This window comes from Homo sapiens, chromosome 9, assembly GCF_000001405.40.
Source record: "Homo sapiens chromosome 9, GRCh38.p14 Primary Assembly".
Taxonomy (NCBI): domain Eukaryota; kingdom Metazoa; phylum Chordata; class Mammalia; order Primates; family Hominidae; genus Homo; species Homo sapiens.
The window spans coordinates 22,915,189-22,941,288 of NC_000009.12; the positions used below are offsets into that span (position 1 = coordinate 22,915,189).

A 26,100-nucleotide genomic window follows, 5' to 3' on the forward strand; every position below is an offset into this window, starting at 1 on the left:
GTTTGCTTTATTAAACAAATGTGATATTATACTATGACAGATTTACATATTTGTATATCTGTTAGAAAAACACTGGGAAAACATATGGCAAATTTAAATAAAAATTACCTATAGATAACAGAAATTTTAGTACTTCATTTTTTAAAAAATTCTGAAATTAACATGAATTACTTCTGAAATCAGAAAAATGACATTAGAAATTATACAAAAATATGTAACATGTATTTGCCCTTAAAAGAGTTTGTGAGCCCTTTCTATACTGTCATTGAAGCAGCCAATCAGATAAGTTAGGTTTTATACTAGATCTACTTTGTGTTTAAGAGGTGTTTTGACTAAAAATCCAATATGCAGAACCATGATTTGATGTTTCTATCACCATATGATGGACTATGTTTAAACAATGCAAATTATAGATTCAATTCACTGACAGCACTGATTTTTTGACCTGAAATACTTATGCCAAGAAAACATAAGTAGGAATCAAAATAAAAATTTTTTTAAAAAAAGAAATTGGGGTTTGTGGTAACAGAATGGTCTTATTTTTCTTGCATCAGTTATACAACCATCTTTATTTGCCATTTTGTAGATACTTGAAAATTGTATTTATCACAGGGCATTTTCACATTTTTAAAAAATATTTTCTGTTCCTTGTGGCCCATCCATGTGTTAAGGCTTTGACAATCCCTGGGGAGGATCCTGAGGCCTTTGTGGCTACATGAACCATAACCTACACCTTTTATCATATACAAAAATAAATCAAATAGATCATAGACCTAAATGTAAAGTCTAAGGCCATAAAACATCTAAAAAGCTTGCCACAAAGATTTCTTAGCTGTAATATAAAAAGCAAGAAACATAAAAGAGAGAAAAATGATAAATTGGACTTCACTGAAATTAAAACTAGATTTTTGAAAGGAAATATTAAGAAAATGAAGAGACAAACCACAGAATGGAGAAATGTTTGCAAAGCACCTGATAAAGGATTGATGGCACCAGACTACATAAAGAACCATTATATCTCAATAAGAAGAAGATACACAACACAATATAGAAAAGAGTAACTGATGTGAACAGATCCCTCAGATAAATGCACACAAAACGTAAATAACTACAAAAAATTGTTCATCATTACATCATTAGGGAAGTGAAAATTAAAATCATAACGAGATACCAATACATACCTATTGAATGGCTAAAATAACAATATTAATAATAATAATACCTGAAAATATCAAGTGATGACAAGGATGTGGAGCAACTAAAACTCATATACATTATTTGTAGAAATAAAAATATCATATAGCCCCTTTGGAAAACAGCTAGATAGCTTCCTATAAAGGAAAGTACATGTTTACCATATGAATCAACAATTCAGTGCCTAGGTATTTACCCGAAAGAAATGAAAGCATCTGCAATAAATTCTCCATGCAAATATGCATAGTAGCTTTATTTATAATTGCACAAATTGAAAGCAACCCAATTATCTCTCAACTAATGAATATATAAACATATGGTGTCATAGTCATAATATGGCATATAACTCAAAGTGGCAATAAAAGACTGAATGACTGTTAATGCAATGACATTATGGCTATCAAATGCAGTATAATAAGTGTAACAAGGCCCAGATCAGAAAGCAACATACTCTATAATTATATGACTTCAAAGGGGCCTTTTGAGGGTGATGAGAATGTTCTACATCTTGATTGTAGTGGTGGTTATACTATTTTGAATATTTGTCCAAATTAATAAAAGTGAACACACAAAAAGATTAAATTTTACTCCATACGAATTATACCTCAATAAACCTAATTTTAAAATACAGACTCCCAGAAAATAGATATATCACTAACTATACATGTGGTGATGATATAAATATTCAGTTTTGTTCTGTGGCTCAGTCCCACAATTTATTCTTCAATGAAATTTAGGGTTTTTCTTTAATGTTTTCATTTTTATGTTTCTTAGAAATCAGTCCTTACTTTTTTTCCTGCCACTACACCCTAATCGACTTAATAATAGCAACTTTCTTCAAGGGTCCTTTCTTGAGGAAATTAACTTCTTGGTGACTTAATTTCTTGGTGACCTCATGGATATGCTGAATTGGAATGAAGTCTACAGACCTTCTACTGGACATCTTTCAATTTCTCTGTGGTCATTTTTTAATCCAACTTCTCCAGCTACAAAAAGCTGATCTTCCATCAAAATTTCTGGAAAGTACTGCTGAAAAATCCGTGCTTACTTTCACTCATTACAGCTTATATTATTTCATGTATAAAAGTAGCTTGGAAAATCCACATTATGCTAATGTGTAGGCTGTGGATGAAATTTAATATTGTCAGACACAGTATTTTATTCTGTAAGCAAAAAATTGATTTACTCAAACATTATTTATTCCACATAGAAAATCTATATCATCATGAAGCATATTTCAGACACTTAACATTGTGGTCCCTCAAACTCATGATTTGATATTATGTGTAGCCTGTTAAAAAACACTGTCATTACATTAAAATGAAACTCCACCGCTTCCTGTCACTTAAGTAAACAAGAGATTCCAATATATTGCAATCTAAACTAAAAACATCAGTTCTTTCTTTGATATAAAATTATACCTAAAATGTACATACCACGGTGAGCATTATCTCTGATATCATTAAATCAAATAAGCTTTTTACTACAAAATCAGTTATTATATATATTGAATATATATAATGTATAAAATATAGTAATTATTATTTTTCTCATGTTATTCTGCAATTAAAAATAAAAAATAAATTTCAGCTTTCTGCTACAAAATGAAGTGATAGATTCCCATTTCTGCTTTTAGTTTGTGCATATTTTACACTGGCTTTAAATAGAACTTTCCATTTCTATTTGATGTGACATTAGGAAAGAGCAACTTGTGGGGTTATAGTATGTAGACCATTTCTCAATTTTATCCTAGGAATAATGTGAAATAGTTATTGTTATTTCATTTACATTTTTTCTGTGCCTTTTTGAAATTTTAGACCAGTTAAAAAGTAAAATGGGTTCACTTCCTAAGCATACAGTGAAATGACATGCAATCAGGTGATTTCATTCAATTTACCTTTTAATTTGCTTTTGAATTTTAGTTCTATTACTTAAAGGGATATATTAATAAGAAAAAAAATCCAGGGCAAATCAGTTTGTCTGTCTTTGAGCTTGGGATAGGGTACACACCGTTAGGTTGTATGGCCAGAAAGCATTGTAGGAAAAGATGATATTCAATTATTTACTACCAGCTGTTTCTGGTTCTGAAAATCCATAGTCTATCCTATAAGGTCCTCTTCAACTAGATGTTTTCCTTAACTATTTAGAAAAAGACAACACATAGACAGACATAACTTTTTAATTGACTTAAAAATTGTGACTTTTAATTGGAGTATTTATCATAGTCCATTAAATTAGATTTAATGTAATCCTCCATATTCTTGGAAATAGGTCTATGCTTAGGCCAGATAAAAGGCTTCTAATGTTACAAATATGTCTACCTTATAAACCAGCACCATCAAATATTAACAAATATAGACGAAATTATATATTCGAAACTAAAGGAAGAAGAAAGAAGGAAGGAAGGATACAGGAGGAAATAAATGACTGCCTAAATGAGGACATGCAATGGCTATTTATTCAGAGCTATAGCAAAGGAGTCAGCTACCATCACTTGTATTTGGCAAAGACTCAAAGGCAGGCAGAATGGTGGGAAAGCTTCACAGTGCAAAAAATAAAAGAGAAAGGCTTCAGGTATTTTCTGCTTGGAAGCTGTTGACATAGAGAAGCTGTAAGCAAGCTAGTTAGAAGTGGGCATTCTGTGTGATTGGTTAAGGGGAAAATGTTTGGCTTTCTCTGGTTGGTCCTATGGAAGGAGAGGGAGGGAACCTGGATTCTCACCTCCACTTGTCTTCCAATCTTTTCTCAGTGCCTCGCATTAACTAGACTTACCTGGAAACCAGAGAGCACAGTGAGGAGCATGAGAAATATTTGTCCCTGCAGTACAAAGCAGAGCACTGGAAGGGTGAAGGGGGAATTTAAGTACAAACAAAATAAAGGCTACACTCTGTAAATATCCGTCATTAGATATGCTAGATTGTGAATTTATATTTTAGATTTTGAATAAAATAGTCAAGTCCTAAACCAATACTCATATACAGCTGTGGTCTCCATTGACAGTCTGCATCACAGCAAATGTATGTTTGATTCTGTATTTGAAAGCTACATTTCTGAAGGTAGGCAAGAATTGTTGATAAATTGAAATACTTTAAAGTATTAGGAGTGATTATGGATTATCATGTGTGCTATAGTTATTCATTTTTGCTCTTGCTTCCTTATATTTGCTTTGCCAAGTCTCAGAATTCTACTTCCTACTCTCTTAGTTGTACTTTCACTAGTGATGTTTTTAAGTCAGTTTCTACCACAGGCATCAGTAGATATCACAGGAAATGGTCAGTTGCTTTGATTGGTTATCACGTTGCTTACAATTACTCCACCTCCTTTTCCTTATGAGACACTGAACTCCCACATATCTATCTATAATCCTTTGCTCAGAAAAATTATACTGGCCATGTTTCCAGGTTATTTCTTCTAGCATTGAACTTAAAAAAAATTGCACAATATCGGGCCTGCCAGACAGTAGAGGGCAGGAGGAGGGAGAGGAGCAGAAAAAGTACCTATTGAGTACTAAGCTTAGTACCTGGGTGATGAAATAATCTGTACATCAAATGCCCATGACAAGAGTTTCCCTATATGACAAATTTGCACATGTACCCCTGAACCTAAAATAAAAGTTAAAAAAAATCCTGCAACAAAGTGTACCTCAAAAGATACTTTTGAAACTGTGGGCCAGGTGCAATCCCAACATTTTTGGAGGCTGAGGCGGGAGAATCACTTGAGCCCAGGAGTTCAAGACCAGACCTGGCAATATATCAAGACTGTCTCTATTTAAAAAAATAAAATTTTGAAATAATAATTAGATTCCTGAGGGAAGCAAATATTATTCTCCTTGCTCCTTACTTATACCCAACCAACTTCCTGTAACATTTTTGGACACAGATTAACTCCCAGTGTCAAATGCAAGTTTGGTTACAAAATATTCATTTGCTGAGTTGTGATATAAATATGTACATACTAACACCTTATTTACAATTGAAAGATAATTTTCATGTACACATATAAAATTGTCATTTATCTTGTCTTTTCTAAAGGTGACATGTGTGGTATATGTAAAGGCACCTAATTCCACTTTTAAAGAGCAGTAACTAATTTTTTAATAATTTTGAAAAGTAAGCAACATTCTCAATGAGGTTTGAACAGTAAAGTGTTCAATGAAATCATCTCTTCAGCCTAGGAAGTCATGGCTTCAGTCTAGACTTTTCCTTCCTTCCTTTTTCATTGTCTGAATATCTTGCTGTCTTCATAGATGCCATGATATCTCCCATCAGCAATCTGGAAATACGGTCTACTAGATCATTTGAAGAATAATAAAAACTAACATAGAAAGTTATTACTATGTGGTAATTATATAGATTACCATTTAATCCTCACAATAATCCTAAAGTAGCTATAATTATCATACTTTTAAGACAAGAAATCTGAGACAAAGTGAAGTAATTAGCCCAAGTTTACACAGCTAATAAATAGCAGAGTTAGAATTGAAACCAAGAAAGTCTGGCTCCAAATTTGTGTTCTTAATTCATACATTCTACCACCCCTACCAGTCAGCATTTGTAATGTCAGTTTACATGAATCAAGGTAGAAAGAAGGACGTAGACAAAATGTTGACCATCATGAAACAACAACATGTCCATGAAGCTACAAGATGGCTTAACAATCAATAAGTGAGTCACTGTCAGAGGCAGAGAAGCACTTGCCTTCTTCTGCTTTCTTAGAAATTTGGTCAGGGGTATGTGTACATAAATACACATATTAAGAAGGAAGCTTTCCTCAAGACAGTTCAAAGAGAAACCAGAAAACCAACAATAGCCCTTGCCAAGAAGGTCTAGTATAACCAGCCAAATCATTCATGCGATCTCCCATTGGACTACTTCGCTATTCTATTTCCTCTGTCCCACTAGAACTGACGGTTCATTTTCATCTCATTACTTCCATTCCACCTAGGCCAATTTATTTTTGCTCTGAACTCACAGTACCAGATACAAACGTATAAATATAGCCTTCATAAACACATAATCACAACATCTAATCACCATGTAGTACTTTAACACATTCAAGTCACTTTTAAAACATTAATTTAAAATATCCATGAAGCCTATTGTGAAAGATGGTTTTATCCTCTGCTATTAATGCCTGAACTGGATAGTGTGATGCTTCCTCTAAAAGCTTGGGGACTCCTGAATTACTTTGGATGACTAACATTCTGAAACACATAGAGATAGGATATAACATTGCCTTCAGTTATATTTAGCCCTCTTTTGTCATTATAATTTAGCTCTTATATAAATGATTAGTCGAAGCGTAATTGCTGTTTATAGCCCTACAGCTTTTTCATGGTAACATATCTAACACCTGTCAAGAAGAGTGGCTACTGTTTTGAGAGCCTCCAGCTAAGTGTGGTCTTCAGTACCGTGGTGCTAGCAGCCCTGCCCTAATGAGAAATGAAGGGGAGCTGGACCTGGATGTTTACAGTGTGCCTTTCAGAGGACACTTCTTTTACCTGGCTTACCTGGCAGACAGCCTAAAGACTCGTTGTCTGACCTGTGACCAGAAGTCCCTCACAGGGGAAATTTGTTCATTTTGGCAGATGCCTTTGTGGCTCTTTTCTGACCTCTGTCCAGTTTATGCCTTCCTGATCGTCACTCTGGCTCTAGGAGCCTGACTTTGTGTTCTCCCTGGTATCAGGGGGAAAACCTGGGACAGCCCCTAGTTGTTCTAATGGAAGGTGCAAATTTAATTTACCACCACAGCAAGAAACAAGTTCAAAGATGTTTTACTTACAGATCCTGGGCCAGGAGAGCAGTCCTCCATCCCCAGGTGATGTGAGGCAAGAATGAAGAGTTAGGTAGAGAAAGACAGAGTAAGCACCTGCGCAACTAGCGGAATGTAAAAGGGAGTAATAGGATATGGATCCCTTTAAGTTTGCAGGCAAATGCCTGAATGGTTTAAAGGAGGTAGCAGGAAAGTGGGGAGTCCTATCTGGTAGGCAGAAGAGATGCCACTAAGTTCTTATCTCTGACCACCAGCTTAAGTCATTTGGTTGTGGTATAGAACTGGAAACTGTCTCAAAGGTGACTGAGCCTTGCTTTCGGTATGAGGAAGCTGAACTTGTATTCAAAATGGATGCCAAGGCAACAGAAAATTATAACTCACTACATTCGTTTTAAAAGTATTTGGATAACTTTAAACTGGTTCAATTCATTCTTTATGAGCATTGGACCCAGTCTCTGCTCCTTCTTGCAAATTACTGTCAGCTCAAAAACGTGATGCGATCTGCAGAAGTTAAAGAGCTAAACGTTGCATTGTTTATACACTAGAGGCCTGTTTTTCTCCAACGCCATCTGAAATTATCTATGCTTTTCTTTGCAAAACATTGAATGACATAAGAGGTTTAGATAAGAACATGACCCAAAAGCCAAAGATAGCCAGAGTTTTCAAATATATGTCAAGATATTTCAGATCAGAGCAAACATGTATCAAAAACGAGTTCATTTTATTCTTTTTCTTAACTAAGAATCTGAGAATGTTTGCCTTATTGCAAGGTAGGGAAGTTTTTTTTGTTTGTTTGTTTTTGTTTGTTTTGCCATGCAGTTTTCACAAGGTTTTGAAAGTTTTTGTCAGCTGCGCTTTTTAATTTGAATGGAAAGCTTTACTTACACACTATATGTGTGTGTGTGTGTGTGTGTGTATATATATATAAATTTATATATATTATATATTTTTTTTCCCTTTGTGTTTAGCTGCAGTCATTCAAATGTGTTTGACCACCTGGCTGTCAGGTTTTATAAGTTTATGGTGAGAGAGCTAAATCCCAATTGTTTTTGTCACTGGTATGTCAAATGTAGAGTTATGTGGCTAGTGAGATATAGCTCCTCTGGTGAGATAAGTGCTGCTGCAGACATCTCACATGCTGTAGAGCCAAGGTTAAGAAAAAGAAAAAGATACAAATCAGCTTTATTATCAAACACAGCTCTGACGATCCAAAGGGGACAGAGGACACCATATAAACATGATGCAGCCCTGTTGTGCCATCCTTTCTGTATGAAGTGAGGTGCCTAATTAAGACAGTAGGCATCAGTCCAGCTGCAAAGAGGTAGTTAAGCAGAGAAAATGCACGTGGTTGCCATCCAAGTGCTTGCCCTTACTCTAAGTGTTCAAAGACAAAGTGCTGAGGCTCAATCTTTTCAGATTCCCACAAGTTCTTCCTTCATCCTCCTTTATGAGCCCAGGCCCACACAGGGCTGCTGGTAACCAAAGACTCTAGCTGCTCCTTAGAGGGTGAGCCACTGCTGCCCTGGGTCCTCAATGTCTTTATAATTAGGTTGATGCCCAAAATGTTTGAGGACAATGTCTCTCCAAATGCCTTACTTTCCAGGATGCTTGGAGAATTCTACTCCTTCCTTTTTTTTTTTTTTTTTTTTTAAATTACATTTCTTACTATTTCCTGTCAATGGGAACAACCTCAGGTTTCCTCCTAATAAATAAAAGCCTGCCAGTGCCAGCAATTACTACAGCAGGTGACATGAAGAGCAAAGGGAAGGGCTGGTTTGATGAGGAGCTGAGCTCTTGAACATGCAAAGAAAAGTAATTCTGGCACCTTGGCAAGAGAATCTGAAGTTTTTGAAAACAAAAATAGTGACAATGGTTCCTCTCCAGTCCAGCTAGGTCCTGCTTATTAAAGCAGAGGCATGAAGGTACACAGATATATGCATACTTACAAACACATACAGAGACATGCAAAATCACTACCATCACCACCACCAAACAGCACCTGAGCCTTCATTCTGAATAATCAGAACAGATTTATAAAATGAAGACCAATAAATTGCTCACCCTCTATACCTCCTGATATGGTCTGTGTCCCTACCCAAATCTCATCTTGAGTTGTAGTTCCCATAATGGCCCCCTGTAGTGGGAAGGACCTGGTGGGAGGTAATTGAATCATGGGACTGGTTACCTCCATGCTGTTTTCATGATAGTGAGTGAGTTCTCACGAGATCTGATGGTTTTATTAGAGGCTTTTCCCCTTTGCTTGGCACTTCTCTCTCCTGCCACCCTGTGAAGAAGGAGGTATTTGCTTCCCCTTCTGCCATGATTGTAAGTTTCCTGAGGCCTCCCCAGCCCTGCAGAACTGTGAGTCAATTAAACCTCTTCCTTTATAAATTACCTAGTCTCAGACAGTTCTTCATGAGAGTATTAGAACAGACTAATACACCTCTGAATCCAATTTAGATGTATAGTTCAAACACTACAACGCAATCCTCTATGTTTAATTATCTTTTAATCTTGCCTTGCAGAAGAATTTCCAAGCATTTTTTTAAACTGTGGTGAGATAATTTAAGGATGAAAATTAATTTGGTTTTTGCTTGGAGTTTTGACTGGCTTACAGAATTCACAGATTACCTAACATTTATAAAATATGCCTTTTGAGAGAAAACACTAGAATTGGAATGGCCTTGAAGGTGAATTAAGTACCAAAAGGCTGCTTTTGTGTAAGTGAGTGTCCTTTCACTGCCATTCACCAGAGTCTCTGCTCTTCCAAACTCCTAGTTTGCGATTTTCATTGGTTTTTTAATATTACAACTCAGGCCATTAGATATAGCCTCAGTGTTCACTATAACTGCTGAGTACATGCTATTTATCCCTGACATTGCCGTAAGTCTTCATTGAGCAGCACTCTTTTCAGAAACCAAGCACTTAAATCTTCCAAGCTGTTTCAATACTTGGCATCATTACTAAAAATGTCAATGATGATGACAGCCGGTGTTTGTTGTAGTTAGAGCCATAACAAACACATTTCAATTGGCTATTAAAAATATACATATATCATTGATTTTTCTAAAGCCCTGGATGATGTCCAGCTGAGATTTTCTGCATGTGGATATTCATTTTGTTACTTTTTGAAGTCCATATTTCTTTCTCACCATGCCATTTTAAATGGTAATGTCAGCCATAGCAGCAGAAACAAGAACAACAGCAATAATACCTACCATTTACTGTATATCTACTATGTACCAGACACTAGATACTTTTGCTTACTTCAATTGCCCATTACAACAATATCATAATCAATATTAGTATTATTTTAATAACCTCTGTCACTTATAAGGTGGAATTTTGTATATTTATTGTGACCCTTCATATGAATTAATTAATAACTTATTATTTTGTGTTAAAATTATTTTCCTGGCATCCTTCTTCCTCCTTTCACCCTTCTTTTTTTCGGAATGAGAAAGTTTTCTATAATCTCTTGTATATATCTGCTCATTTGAAGGCTACCAATTTATTTCTACTTAGTGTTTTCCTTAATTTTAAAGATAGGTATTTAATTTTGAGAACAGTCTATAATTATCAGTATTTCTAACATCCTCCTGACCATTTTACAGAATATTTCAGATTTTATGCATTAATTACTGCCTTGGCTTCTACAGTCTTACCATAATTATTTCATTTTAGTTTCATTCTAATATTTAATATGCAACCTATATTACTTGTTTTGTAGTGAGTATTTTATTAATTTTTCTGGTCACCATTATAACTTGTTTCCTGTACCTTCCCCTTTGTCTTTTTTTTTTTCTAAAATGCATCTTTTTTTTTGAGTTTCAATAGGCAGTAAGATTTATCAGGCTTTGTATGTCTGAAAATGGCTCTATTTGGCCTCCACTTTTCAAGGTTTATTTGCCTGTACATAAACTTGTGGTAGTTATTTTCACTTGGTGTTTTGAGACTATTTCTCATTGTCTCTTTGCCTCAATAGTGAGTGGTGAAGAAGTATACTATCAGCCCATGTTCTTCTTTTAATCCATCTTTTTGCACTAGTAACTTTTGAAACATTTTCTCTAATTGTGAAGCTAGTCAACTGCACTGAAATAAATCTATGTACAGTGTGCATTTATTTTTATTTTCCTGTTCCGTACTTGGAGTATACGCTTTTTTTTTTTTTTTTTTTTTTTTTGAGACACAGTCTCGTTCTGTCACCCAGGCTGGAGTGCAGCGGTGCAATCTTGGCTCACTGCAACCTCCGCCTCCTGGGTTCAAGTGAATCTCCTGCCTCAGCCTCCCAAGTAGCTGGGATTACAGGCGCCCGCCACTACGCCCAGCTACTTTTTTGTATTTGTAGTAGAGATGGGGTTTCACCGTGTTAGCCAGGATGGTCACGATCTCCCGACCTCGTGATCTGCCCGCCTTGGCCTCCCAAAGTGCTGGGATAACAGGCATGAGCCACCGCACCCAGCCTGGAGTGCACTTTTAATCTGAAGACTCATGTGTTTCTCAGATTGTAGAAAGTTTGCAATCATCTTTTGATTCAAATATTGGTTTACTACCATTCACACTAGTCTTATCTATTAATACCTGTTAGATCAGACGTCAACAAACATTTTCTCAAAGAACGAGAGAGTGAATACTTTAGACTTTGAAGGTCATATGGTCTCTGTTAACAACTACTCAACTCTGCGATTGTACCATAAAAACAGTGATAAGCAATATATACATTGAATGGGCATAGTTGTGTTTAAATAAAAACTTATTTATAAAAACAGGTGGCAAGCTGGATATTGGTCTCGGCAAGTAGTTTGGCAAACCTCTGTGTTAGATGAGTGCTTAATCACTTTTTCGATACTCCATGTCTCTCAAGTACTCTTTCAACTTATCTTAATCTTTTTGCTTTTCCAGTGCATTCTTAGTGAACCCCTCTGTATCCTCTTCCTATTTGTTAATTTTCTGTTCATCTCTACTCTGTCAAATACTTATTTTGTCTACTGTTATCTTTTAACATCTGTAATTTTACTTTATTTCAAAGTTTTCTCATAAATTTTTTTGCATATTCACTTGATCTTATTTTATTTCTATATCTTTATTTTATAGTTTCTGTTCCTTCTTAGATATTTGTCTTTTGACCATCTGCAAATACTGCTGGAGTTATTGATTTTGTTGGCTGTCTTTTCAGAATTAGTTTTCCTAACATGGCTTGAATTTTCATTTGCAGGCCAATTTGCTTTTGTTTTTCTCCCTGTGAACATAATATTGTAACAGTTTTTTTTTTTGTTTTGTTTTGTTTTTTTTTACCAATCTCCTCCTAGCTCAGGGTTACTGAATCTGAGGAGATATTGGGGTTATGGCAGATCTAGTCGCAGAAACAGAATGTAATTTAGATTCATTCCTAATATTCCCAGAGTGCAAAGGCAGGAAGCATGTCTCTGATGTCCATCCCTCACACAGTAATTTTAATTCTTCTTACCCATCAATGACTGAACCTTTGGTTGTTACTGCTTACTGCCAGAGCCCAGCTAATAACTCTATCCCTCACTCTTTTATACTTGTTTCGTTTTTTCACTGCTCATAATTTTTACTTTATACTTCAGCTCAGCTGTTGTTGCTTCATTTTATTTAATTTTTTATAGGTTATAGCAAATAAGTTTTGTAGAGCCCTAACTCACTGTTCAATGCTGATCCCAAATTGGGTATTACTGTTAATATAAAAAGATAAAACTAAGGTTGAGAAATATCTGTACAATTTGCTCTTTGCCTCAAGTTATTAAGTGCCTGAGAAGTGATACAAACTACTTAGCTTTTGCTTTTCCAACTTGCTACAATAGTTACAGAGATAATCAAATCCTCTGTCTACTTCTTTATTCCTTAGCAATTCATTCACTTTTCATTGGCAAGCTCATTCCAAAGAAATACTTAGCCAATTTAAAAAGGGATGCAACATACTTCTTTATTACAGAATAACTAAAGGATATTTACCCTGGGATTCTTTCTAAGGCATTACAGCAATTCTAAGGCATGACATCCTCAGTGCAGCAATGGCTGGTGATGTGAAGCATAAGGCAAAAGACCTTGAGTTCCACGGATTTCAGGACAGGAAACAAAGTGGGACTGGCTGCTCTGCTTGCGGACCAATAATCTGTGGGTGTTACTAAAGTACCTTTATAAAATATTTTAGACATAATTTCATGAATATCTATCAAGATTTATCTGTCCCTATTTTATTTATTGATTCATTTTTGCCCTGTCACCCAGGCTGGAGTGCAGTGGCACGAGCTCAGCTCACTGCAACCTCCGCCTCCCAGGTTCAAGCAATTCTCCTGCCTCAGCCTCCCGAGTAGCTAGGATTACAGGTGCCCACCACCATGCCTGGTTAAGTTTTATTTGTTTTTTTTTTTTTTTTTTGCTTGTTTGTTTTTGTTTTTTGTATTTTTAGTAGAGACAGGGTTTCACTACGTTGGCCAGGCTGGTCTCAAACTCCTGACCTCAGGTGGTCTGCCCACCTTGGCCTCTCAAAGTGCTGTGATTACAGGCATGAGCCACCGTGCCCAGCCATCTGCTCCTATTTTAAAAGCAAACATAACTTGAGGAGTTAGAGATTCCTCACAATTTTCTACAAAACATTTTAATTACATGAAGTGAAGCTTTGGAACTGTAAGGGACTTTAACAATATTCTATGAAGTCTAGCCATCTTGTCTTATAGGTCAATAAACTGGAGTCCAGGGAGTTCAAGAAATTTACTTATAGTCACGTTGTTAGTGGCTGACCTTGAAATTGATTCTAGGATCCAGCTGCTGTTACATATTTTGAGTAAACCTGAGTTAATAAGAGGATATAACGCAATGAGTAATCTTGAGTGTATTTAGCCATTTAATTATTTTGAGCAAGGTAGGGGATTGGAGGTTATAAATGAAGTGTATTTAGGCAAAGAAGGGATAAATGTATCTTTATCTGATCTTTTGCCTAGACTCTATCATCACAAAATGTAGCACCATTAGAATGGATAAATTTTATTTAGCCTGTATATTTTTTAAAAAGACTATTTTATAGGGAGAATTACTCTTCCAAACCTCAGAATCTTGACTTTAATTCGGGTCAGGCTGAACCATTTGTCTATTTTGAACAATTCCTCAAGGGTCATTTAAATTAATTAACATTTTATGTGAAAAAAATCAGGAATAACTGAGAATGACTAATCCTTCACTATAAAATGACCTATGTGGTTTATTAAACCGTGAACTGAAACATAAATGTGTACCAAAAACATAACTAAAGTGTGGTTCCAGTTTTCATTGCAGTTATATCTAAAGAACTCTTAAAAGTTTCAGCCATATGAAGTTAATAGAATTCACTCTGTTCTGGTTCTATCGTGGGTAAGCAATTCTGCTATACTATTTTGCCTTATGTTTGTTAACCTCAGTGTCCAATGATGCAGTACATCCATTGCATTCTCAGCAGCATTGGTTCATGGAATGGTATAATATGCATTCATCCATTTATATATTCTACAAGTTGTTGAACACCAAACACATGCCAAGCAATTTATTTACTTTTTAATGTTTTTATTCTATATAGTGTGTGTGTGTGTGTGTGTGTGTGTGTGTGTATCTATCTATCCATCTATCTATATGGAGAGAGACAGAGAGAAAGGGAGAGAGGGAGTCTCTTTAAGTTGCTCAGGCTGATCGGCTGATCTTGAGCTCCTGGCCTCAGATGACCCTTCTGCTTCAGCCTTCCAAAGTCCCGGGATTAGAATTGTGAGCCTCCACACCCACCCCCAGCATTTTTTTTCAGTCATTGAGAATATGTCAGAAGATAAAATAAATTCCCTGCCTTCGTAAGACTTATGTTCTAGAGAAAAAATACAGAATATAAGTGAATAACTAAAGAAAATGCATAGTTAATCAGATGGCCATAAGTGTAATGGCTAAAGATAAGCAGAGAAAGGAGATAGGAAGTGGTTCTGTGGGTGTGTGGATGTGGGAAAGATGACTGAAGTTTTAAATATGGTTGTCAGGGAAGGCCTCACTGGGAAGGTAACATGTGGGGGGATTGAAAAGAGAAGAAGAAAGTCATGGAGAAAAGCACTGTAGGCAAAGAGAATAACCAGTGCAGATTCCTGGAGGTGAGGGTGTGCTTGAAATATTTGAGAAATAGCAAGACACCTACTTAACTTTTAGACTGTTTTAAACTTTCATTTATGATTTCAACAAACGTTAATTGAATATTCAATGTGGCCCAAACACAGTGCTAAGATCTGGGAGCACCAATATGAGTAAGTAACTATTATACTTATTTGATGCTTATGTGCATCTAGTAAGGGCTCTACTCCTAAAATGAAAAATAAATAAATAAATAAATATCTAGACACAATAATGACACAGAGTAGTTTTAGTTATTTCTCCTGGCACTGGTTTGAGGAAGGATAATAATAGTCTGTGAGAAACATTTAGAGTAGTAACTAAAATATACTTTGACTTGAAGCCACACTCTCTCTCCCCCAACACCCAAACAGAATCACTGGAAGGTTTCATTTCAACTTCCTACCAGAGCTCTGAATGGCTTAAATGCTTTTTATGGCATTTTCTAAAGCTGCCTTTCATTCGGGGACATACTGCCCCATGTTCACCATCTGGAAGTTTTTTTTACAGAAGCTATTTCTTTAATCACTACCTCCACTGCTTTCATGCTATCCCAAGCCACTGATTTTATAGCTGGGGAGACCAATGTTTAAAGTGTTATTCAATTCTTCTCTCCAGAGAAACTTAGTAAAATTTTTCTTGAACTACATTAAAGTTGATAATAGTCCTACCTTCTACAATATATCAGTGACAGTGATGTAAATGGGTTAATGTCAGTAATACATTTGTAGGGATTAGCATTGCCACAGTCAACAAGAGCCCTGTTTTTCTGTTAGAAAAAGAAACTCATTTTAGAGACTAGTGCTAAGAACCTAAAGTGATTATTTTAAAGTTATCTTGTCAAACGTATGGAATCAAGTAATTTATATTATATATCTATAGTAAATGTTGATGTAGTTACTAAAGATCATGTTTGCGAAAGTATTTAGTCATGAGTAAATATTTCTTTTAATTCTGAAGCAAAAATATGAAGAATCTAATTTGAATATTCACTATCATCCCAACCAAATAAATAATATTAATAAAAAGACAGAACAAAACCAGTAAATTGTTGATAATTGTTATTGGTAGGTAGTAATATTTAGTTTTTTAAATATTCTTCAGTTTTCCAAGTGCTGTATATGATATTTTAAATTTTTATCTTTTTAAAAATTTATTTATTTATTCGATATTCAGGAGGCTGACGCAGGAGGATTGCTTGAGCCTAGGATGCCGAGGTTGCAGTGAGCCGTGATCATGCCACTGCACTTCAGCCTCGGAAACAGGGAGAGAGAGAGTCCGTCTCAAAAAAATAAAAATAAAAAAAGCAATAGGATATTATTTTTTCCCCTAAAAACAGAAGCTGTTAGGTCTGTATTTCTAGAAAATAACAGTGAACTAGATATTCTTCATGACACACTTTTTCACCGGGTAATTTTGTAGGAGCAATATTAATCTGAAATTAGATAGGATGGTGACTTATAGATCAGTTTTCAGCACTCATTGCTGAAATTTGCTGTCACTTGAAATAGTTGATTTTGAAAAACAAGCCCAAAAGATTTGTTTTTTCTTCCCAGATAGTTTGCCTATATTGGTAAATGTTTCCATCAAATGAAGAGTGGAATATTAGTAGTGTTTACATCAAATGAAGAGTGGATCTAAAGTTTAAACATGAAGATTTCATCCGGCTATGAATGAAAGATGAGAGAGTAACGTATTTTCCTTCCTTTTTCGTTTTCATGCACAATTCATTATTATAAAAATAATTATGCACTAATACTCAATTCTGCATTTATTTTACAAGCATAGTCAAGATCCACTAAGGCTGTCCTTCTCAGATGTGACTGTCAGACCAGCAGCATCAGCATCACCAAAGTATGACCTACTCTGTCTGAAATTCTAGAGACAGAGCTCAACTCCAGGTGAATTACTTTATGCTAAAGTGTGAGAATTGCAGAATAAGGAAAACAGCTTAAATAATACAAACAACTAAACTAATATAGATACTCTTACCCTCTAAGCACAACTGTTATTAAAAACCTCTTAGTAAAGTCAACTGTTCTTTCTACTCTCAGAAAAATGATTATAGTTTTTCCCTTCAGCAGATTGAGCCATTGAAAAAAAATTCCAGGCTCTAGGTTTGTGATAAACCTTCCCCACTTAAATCTTAAGTGTGATAAAAGCCTTTACCAATGATTAAACTGAGTGAAATGTTAGGCTGTCCTTAGACTGATAGAGTCATATTTATCTGGCAAACAAAGGATTAAAGGACATCTCTCCTGGAGATGTACTATGGTACTATGGGACTATGGGAAGAAGTAAGAAGCCTAGTATGACTACTAAATTTTTAGCCTGAAAGACTAGTTGTATTTCTACCAATAATGTAAATAGAGTACTCAGGCTAAGACTTGAATTCGAGTAAATTAAACATCTTCTGTTTCAGCCTCAGTATTCTCATTACAAGTAACTAGCCTTACTTCTCAGAGTTGCCTATCCAATATCTAAGATGTTCTGAAGTGCCTTTCTCTATATCCTGTATTTCTTTATTTTTCATCATCGGTTCCAGAAACAAAAAAAGATTTTGAACAGACCATGCAGTCTTTCCTAAGTTACCTAAGCAATGGAATCGTTCACTCAATTAACTCTTCCTTCCCTTTTTTATAGGTGTTTAATCTATATTGAATTACTTGTTTCCAAGCTCAGCAGTTACGGGGGCAATTGCTACCTGATTTTCTATTATTTTATAAAAGGACAGTAATGTTACAGGACAGGGGTCCCAATCCAGACCCCAAGAGAGGGTTCTTGGATCTCACACAAGAAAGAATTCAGGGTGAGTCCACAGTGCAAAGTGAAAGCAAGTTTATTAAGAAAGTAAAGGAGTAAGAGAATGGCTACCCCATGGACAGAGCAGCCCTGAGGGCTGCTGGTTGCCCATTTTTATGGTTATTTCTTGATGATATGCCAAACAAGGGGTGGATTATCATGTCTCCCCTTTTTAGATCATATAGGGTAACTCTCTGATGTTGTCATGGGATTTGTAAACTGTCATGGCGCTGATGGGAGCGTAGTAGTGAGGAAGACCAGAGGTCACTCGTGGCTATCTTGGTTTTGGTGGGTTTTAGCCAGCTTCTTTACTGCAATCTGTTTTATCAGTGAGGTCTTTATGACCTGTATCTTGTGCAGACCTCCAATCTCATCCTGTGACTTAGAATGCCTTAACTGTTTGGGAATGCAGCCCAGTAAGTTTCAGCCTCATTTTACCCAGCTCCTATTCAAGATGGATTCACATGCCTCTGACAGTAATTTGAAATTATTAATTTTAATGGACATTGTATGAAAACCTTCCTATATATATAATCTCTATATATTTTAAGTAAAACTAGACTAGCCTTGAAACTACTTTGGTCAATCCATTTATCATTTGTGCCCTTCAGTAAAATAAAAATAAATTCATATTTTGTTGTTTTTTTTTAGAATTCTAGAAATATTCCCCAAATTGGAAAATATGTGGACTGAGATTTGTAATCAGTTTTCAACATTATCAAAGAGAAAAACATTGCACCAGACAAAATAAGCAGAGAGAAGTTGATTTCATTTCTATACTATTGTCAGCAATAGGATGCCTGAATACCCAGTCACCCACCACCCACCCTTACGCCAAAGAGCTGGAGAGTTTTTAAAAGTTGGGATAGGGGCCATCTGAGTTTGCTAATTGGCCTTACTCAAAGGAAAAATCACTTTTCTTGTATCTTCATGACTGGAGGCAATTTTACAGCTTGGAACAAAGGCAACGTTAGGCCCCCACTCTCCCACAGAAACTGAAGTGGGGGGATGAGGAGGGGTGGTTTATCTTTCTTGACAATTACACTTCGATAGAATGGCTCTCAGATCCTTCAAAAAGCCATTCTTCAGTTCTATAACGAGTTAGAAGCTTTCAAAAAATTTACGTCTCAAAGGGCCAGAGAAAGGATGTACAATTATGTGTTTTCTAGAGTAAATGTTCTAAGAAAAGGAAGGTCAGGGTCCTAGGTGAGATAAAAGCTTGTCTAAAATTTCGTGAAATCGAGTGGAACCTTAGATTGTCTTCATCAACTTTTAACTTTTTGTGGGATTATATATATAAGCATAAAAACATAGCCTTTCATGGTTTTCTATCTTAGCTCACTGGTTAAGAAAGGGGTCTTCAAAACCTTTTCGTAAAGGAGATTTTTGTCCTATTTGAGAATATTTTAACTAACAAATGATGTAAATAAAATATTTTCTCTATAGGAACAATGTTCAACTTTTAATCAAATTTAGTTAAAAAAAATTATTTTTGAGACAAGCTTGAAACTGCCATTGCAAAATTATAAATGAGAAAATTATTACAGTGAAAAAGATCTGACCTAACCAACTCCATCTTGCTTGTAATCCCCAAGCTGTTCTTGTTCACTCCTGGGTGTAGGCCAAATTAACTTTGGGAGGAATTTAGTTTATAGTTTGAAACAAAGACAATAACAGCCTTTGCAGGACTAACAAATTATCCACAAGATTAAAAATTGTGGTTTAGGAGTCATGCAGCTGGAGGCTGCCTGCGAGATTCTAAACCTCTTCAAATTACTCCTGGTGATAACATCACTATTGTAAAACCTAAGATCACTGTCTGAGATATTTTGCAGACCTGGCACTTGATGGATCAGTTGGCACCACCCAGATCGATAAAGTGGCTCCTCTGGTCTTGTTGCCCTCACTCAGGAAATGACAGCACAAGAGGTCAGCCTCAACTCCCTATGATTTCATCTCCGACCCAACCAATCAGCACTCCCGACTCACTGGCCCCTACCCACCAAATTGTCCTTAAAAACCCTGATCCCCAAGTTTTCAGGGAGACTGATTTGAGTAACAATAGAATCCTGGTCACCTGCACAGAGGTTCTATGTTAATTACTCTTTCTCTATTTCCCTGTCTTGATAAATTGACTGTCCAGTGCACTACCACACTAATTATTTTTGTGTGTATATGTGTAGACAAGGATCTTGCTATGTTGCCCAGACTGGTCTTGATCTCCTGAGCTCAAGTGATTCTCCCACCTTGGCCTACCAAAGAGCTAGGATTATAGGCATGAGCTACCAGGCCTCAAATGTAGTTTATGAAAAAATTCTTAGATTAATGAGGATCTTATAAAATGCCTTCAGGGGCTTAAGCCTCCTCCCATTTTGTCTACCTTTTGATAAAGTCCCACAGTCCTATTTGGTTTTGGTGGCCCAATAACCAAAATAGCTTGGGTCATATCAGTGGGCTCCCCATACGAATACAGCTTTAAGATAACCCTCATTCTTACTCTCTTCCTGTAAATTTTCTTACCATATTTTTTGCCCTAAGCCCTTCCTACATTAAAATTCTGGATCATCTAGAATTGTTTCATCACCACAAAGAAATGTCCTGTATTATCCCTTAATAATCACACCCTCTTTGAACTCTAACCCTCAGCAGCCAATGACCTGATATTATCACTTTGAGAATGTTTTATAAATGCTATGTATAGTAAGTAACCTTTAGACTTTATTTATTTCACTCAGTATAATGCCCTTCAAATCCCTCCATACATGTTGTTTGAATTCACCAATTCTTGATTTTACAGAGGATATGATGAATTGCTTTTTTTCTTTTTATTCTAAAACAATTTCAAACTTACAGAAAGGTTGTAATTATAGTGCAGAAAGTATTTCCCCTAAATCATTTGAAAGTTACTCAGTCACATTTTGCCTAACACCCAAATATTTTAGTGTGTGTTTCCTACAAAGACATTCCTTGATGTAATTCAATATAATTACCAAAATCAGGACATAACATTTCATTATTATCATTTAAACTGTAGTCCCAATCCAAATTGTGTCAATAGTCCCCATAATGTCCTTTTTTAGAAAAAGGATTCAATCTGAACAGGACTGGCTACTCAGTGGGGACCTGGGGCTCACTTCAGAATGAATGTGAGCCTTTTGAAATATTGTTAAGAATTGAGAGGACAACAGCAGAACATTAAATCAAACATAGGCTCTTCCAAGTACAGGGCCCTGTGCCACTACACAAACTACATGCCCATAAAGCCAGCCCTGGTTTAAGATCATATACTGCATTTAGATGCCCTGTATTTTTAATCTTCTTCAACCTCCTTCTTCTGTCTTCTTTTCTCTCATGACCTTGACACTTTTGAAGATTTTAAGCCAGTTATTTAGAGAATGCCTTTCAATTTGTGTTTCTCTGATGCTTCCTCTGATTAAATGGTTTTGGCAGGAATATCACAGAGGTAATGTTTGTGATTGCATCTTATCAGGTGGTAATGATTTGATTTGTCCCATTTTGATGATGTTAATTTTGAACATTTGATTAAGGTGGTGTCTTCTAGTTTTCACTATGGTGAAGTTACTTTTTTCCCCAACTTAATAAGTGTATTGAAGGACGATACTTTGAGACTATATAAATACTCTGTTTCTCATCAAACTTTTACCACCCACTAATGTTTTCTGCATGAATTAAATATTGGGATGATAGATGCCAATAGGCGATTTTCATCAAATCTATTATTCCTTTTATTTTATTAATTAACAAGATTTTCCCTCTGCATATGTATATGTGTATTTTTATCACAAATGCATTCCAATATTATTTCATAGGTTAAAATCTGTTGATATCATTATTTATTTAGATACACAAATTTTTCCCTATCTGACTAGTGAGAGCTCATTCAAGCTAGCTCTTTTGTTGTTGTCCTTTTGATATATCCTTATGATTATTTGAGCACTTCCTTATTTTCATGTACCACATGATGTTAATGGCTCATTTTACATTTTTTTCCCTTAGTCCTGAAATTAGCCATTGATCCAAGGAGCTATGTTTTATTTTAGTGAAAAATGACCTTCAGAAAACAAAATCTGAGGCTAGACATGCTCATTATTACATGGGTGTTGATGTCTCAAAGCCCTCTCAGTGAGCAGAGCTTGAGGAGGTAAGCATGCATACACCTGCAATACATACACACCTATATTCTTTCTGTATCCATCTATATGCATTAAAACTTTAAGTTCACACAAATATCTCCAATTCCAATCCAATACTAGTGCTAGAAGTTTTATCCTAATTTTTCTGCATTTTCTATAACTTCCTTTTTCTATAACTTCCTTTTTCAACCTGAGAAATCTTGCTCCTATTATTCCCAATATTTTTATTTATTTGATAAATCCTACCTTTACATAACCAACATTTCTTCCCCTCCACTTCACCATGTGAATGCTCTTTCCACCTCACCCAGACTTCAGCATTTCACTGTTGTTCATTGTCAACCCCCTGCTACAAAATCCTCCTCCAGGTCTGAAGTAGAAATATTCTTAATTATCTCAGGACATAGTGTCTGTGGCAGACTGTGTGGATTGTGAATGCATTCCTCACCATGTCCAGTCTCTGAGCCCCTGCAATATGGTGCTCCTACCTACAAAGAATGTGTTCTTACCCTCCTTGGGCTTTGACGCTCTGTGCCAAGTCATGGATATCATTGCTGTGCCCTATCTCCATGTGGAAGCCATCTGTGCTATGCTTGGGCTGTAACAAATTACGGTGGGACCACAACCATCCCACATGCAGACAGCCTCTTTACCTACTTGGGTTTCTGATATCTCACCAAGCTGCTTACACTGTTATATACCCCTTACATAGCTGTCCCTCTCACACTCTTGAGTATGACTACTCAGAGCTTTGCCAAAAGAATGTGCTCCTCCTCCTCTCAGGTTTCTTACACCTTTTACCCCTCACTTCCTCACCCCACCCTCAATCTAGCATCCCATTATAGTGGCTGTACCACCAGTCCATTCTCTTCCTTTACCCACCACCCACATATAAATATCTCCTGTGTCTCATTGCACAAGGCCACTGTACCTATCTCCCTTCCAGCACGTGTTTCTATCTAGCATATACTCAACCTAATATCTTTTAGGCTAAATACTCATGAAGGAGGGAAAAAAGGGAGAGAGATTCATGAATTAGTTTTAAAAATTCATAACTACGTTCTTTATAACTAGCAGATACTTTGTCAGTGTTTGGAAAAAATATTCTTTTATAAAAATAAATAGCACAAGAAACCAAGTTTTAAGATTATTTTTAAAAATTAGGTACTTCATTAGACATGTATGAATGAATCACAACAGTGAATATGAAGGCAGAATCATGCCTTCTCCCCCAAAGACGTCTGGGTCCTAATTCTCAAAGCCTATACACAGGTAACTGTAGAGGCCAAGGTCCTTGGTCCCCTGAAGCTCTGTTGAAAATGATTGATATGAGGCAGATTGATTAATAGGAAAAAAAGGCATACAAATTTATTTCACATGTATACATAGGAGCTTTCGGAATAAACACCTAATCCCCCAGTAGGGGTGAAAAAAAAAAAAAAAGAAGCTTATCTACCATCTTGAGATTACAGAAAGAATGAGGGCTCAGAGCATTGCCAAAAATAGATTATGTTGGTAAGTCAGGTTTTAGTGGCAAGACAGGTTATGAAGGGAGAGAAGAGGACGCTTGGCTAGCAAAGGTTGTCTTGTTATGTAGATCAAACCTCATAGGTAGCAGCCTTCAGAAGGGACAGATGGTAAATATTTCTGTTTCTTTTGGAATCTTTAAAGGTGCCAGACTCTTAGTTAATCTTCCCTAGATCAGGACAAGGTAAGGCCTAGTTGAATTAATGGAGATTCTCTATGGTTGCAAATTTTCCCTACAAAAGACAGTTTTGAAGGGCCACTTCAGTCTGCTGGCTCTGGGACAGCCATCTCAAAATATGGCAAACAAATATATTTTTGGATAAAATATTTTCATTTCCTTCATTACCCTAGCTGGCAAATGGGACTTCACAGATATGATTAAGGTTATGGACTTTGAGATGGGAGATCATTATGGATCACCTTGGTGGGCCAAATCTAATTATATAGGTCCTTAAAAGTGGAGAACCTGTCCTAGCTGTAGTCAGGGAGAGATGAGACCATGGAAAGAGGAGTCAAAGAAATGGAATGATGCTGACTCTGAAGATGGAGAAAGGGGACCACATGCTAATGAAAGTGGGCAGCTTCTGGAAGATGAAAAATGTAAGGAAATGTATTCTTATCTGGAACCTCTAGAAAGGAACAAAGCCTTGGCAACAAAGCCTTAGCCCAGTGAGACTTATACTGGACTTCTGACATACATAATTGTATAATAATAAATTTGTGTGTTGTAGCAAGACACATATGGTAAAAGAAACAGAAATGCTCAGAGGATATAGTAGGTGCTAGAAATATTTCAATATTTAAGAAATATTGAATATATGAATTATAAGCTGTTTTTGAAGGAGAACTGATTTTTTTCTTTCAAGTCTTTATACTTAAGCTGTCAAGATGTTTTTTTAAAAAGCCCTGCATTTTATTTCCATTCTCTTTATTTTAAATACCATAAAATTAAAGATAATTTTTAAAAATTAAAAAGCCACAATTCTACGACACTAAAATGATTTTTATAAAACAGTTTCATTCTATCCCTTCTTCTTTCAGCAGCATATATATTTAACACAATTGAAATCATATAACATTTTCAATAAGCTGCTCACTTTTTTCTTCTAAAATTTATAAAAACTATTTTCTATGTGTCTGTAACATCTTTATAATTATCATTTTATAACTGTATGACTCATTGAATTAATGTACAATAATTGATTAATTTATCCTTTTGTTGAAATTTAGTTTGTTTACAATGTTTACTATTTAAGATAATTTTTCAAAGAAACATCTTTGAGAATATAACTTTTTTCCTCTTATTTTTTTTTTTTTAGACAGAGTTGTGCTCTTATCACCCAGACTGGAGTGCAATGGCGCCATCTCGGCTCATTGCAACCTCTGCCTCCTGGGCTCAAGTGATTCTCCTGCCTCAGTCTCCCGAGCAGCTTAGTAGCTGGGACTACAGGCACCTGCCACCACACCCAGCTAATTTTTGTATTATTAGTAGAGATGGGGTTTCATTATGTTGGCCAGGCTGGCCTGGAACTTCTGACCTCAGGTGATCCACCCACCTCGGCCTCCCGAAATGCTGAGATTATAGGAGTGAGCCACCGCGTCTGGCTTTTTTCCTTATTTTCTATTTTGACTTAAGATTGTGTAAACCCAGAATAAAATCATAAGCCCCTCAAGTGACTGAATGGACCCTGCTTTGACCAAAGGCACCCCAGAGAAATCAGAAAAACTGAATTCCTGGCATATTTTGAAATGGCCCTGCAAAGCCACCTCTTGTGGGGAAAATTTGCATCTGTAGTGAATCTCCATTAATACAGCCAGGGATTCCCTTTTCAGGTCTTCCCTGGATCCAGGAGGGATTAATGAAAGTCACACCTTTAAGGTCTGAAAAAGAAATTTACCATCTATTTTCTCTGAAGGCAGCGACATGGGAACTTCATCTATATAACAAGAACCTTGGTCTCTACAACCCCCCTTATCTTAACTCAAGCATTTCTTTCTTTTTTTTTTAATTTTTAAGCTCCAGGGTATATGTGCAGGATGTGCAGGTTTGTTACATAGGTAAATGTGTGCCACGGTGATTTGCTGCACCTATCAACTCATCACCTAGGTATTAAGCTCAGTATGCATGAGGTATTTTTCCTAGTGCTATCCCTCCTCAAACTCAACCCCCTGACAGGCCCCAATGTGTGTTGCTCCCTTCCTTATGTCCATGTGATCTCATTGTTTAGCTCCCACTTGTAAGTGAGAACATACTGTGTTTGGTTTTCTTTTCCTGCATTATTTTGCTGAGGATAATGGCTTCCAGTTCCTTCCATGTCCCTACAAAGGACATGATCTTATTCCTTCTTATGGATGCATAGTATTTCATGGTGTATATGTACCACATTTTCTTTATCTAGTCTATCACTGATGGGGATTTGGGTTGATTCCATGTTGTATTAGTCTGTTTTCACACTGCTGATAAAGACACACCTGAAACTGGGAAGAAAAAGGGAATTAATTGGACTTACAG

General features: G+C 36.1%; 1 long non-coding RNA gene across 1 annotated transcript; it reads right to left on the reverse strand.

Moving 5' to 3' along the window:
• Positions 1-1,896: 1,896 nt before the first annotated feature.
• LOC105375990 (uncharacterized) lies at positions 1,897-24,821 on the reverse strand. Its single transcript, XR_929515.2, has 2 exons — positions 19,745-24,821; positions 1,897-2,316 (listed from the first exon to the last, which is right to left on the reverse strand). It is a non-coding gene; the product is annotated as an uncharacterized LOC105375990 (long non-coding RNA).
• Between the last annotated feature and the right edge of the window lie 1,279 nt (positions 24,822-26,100).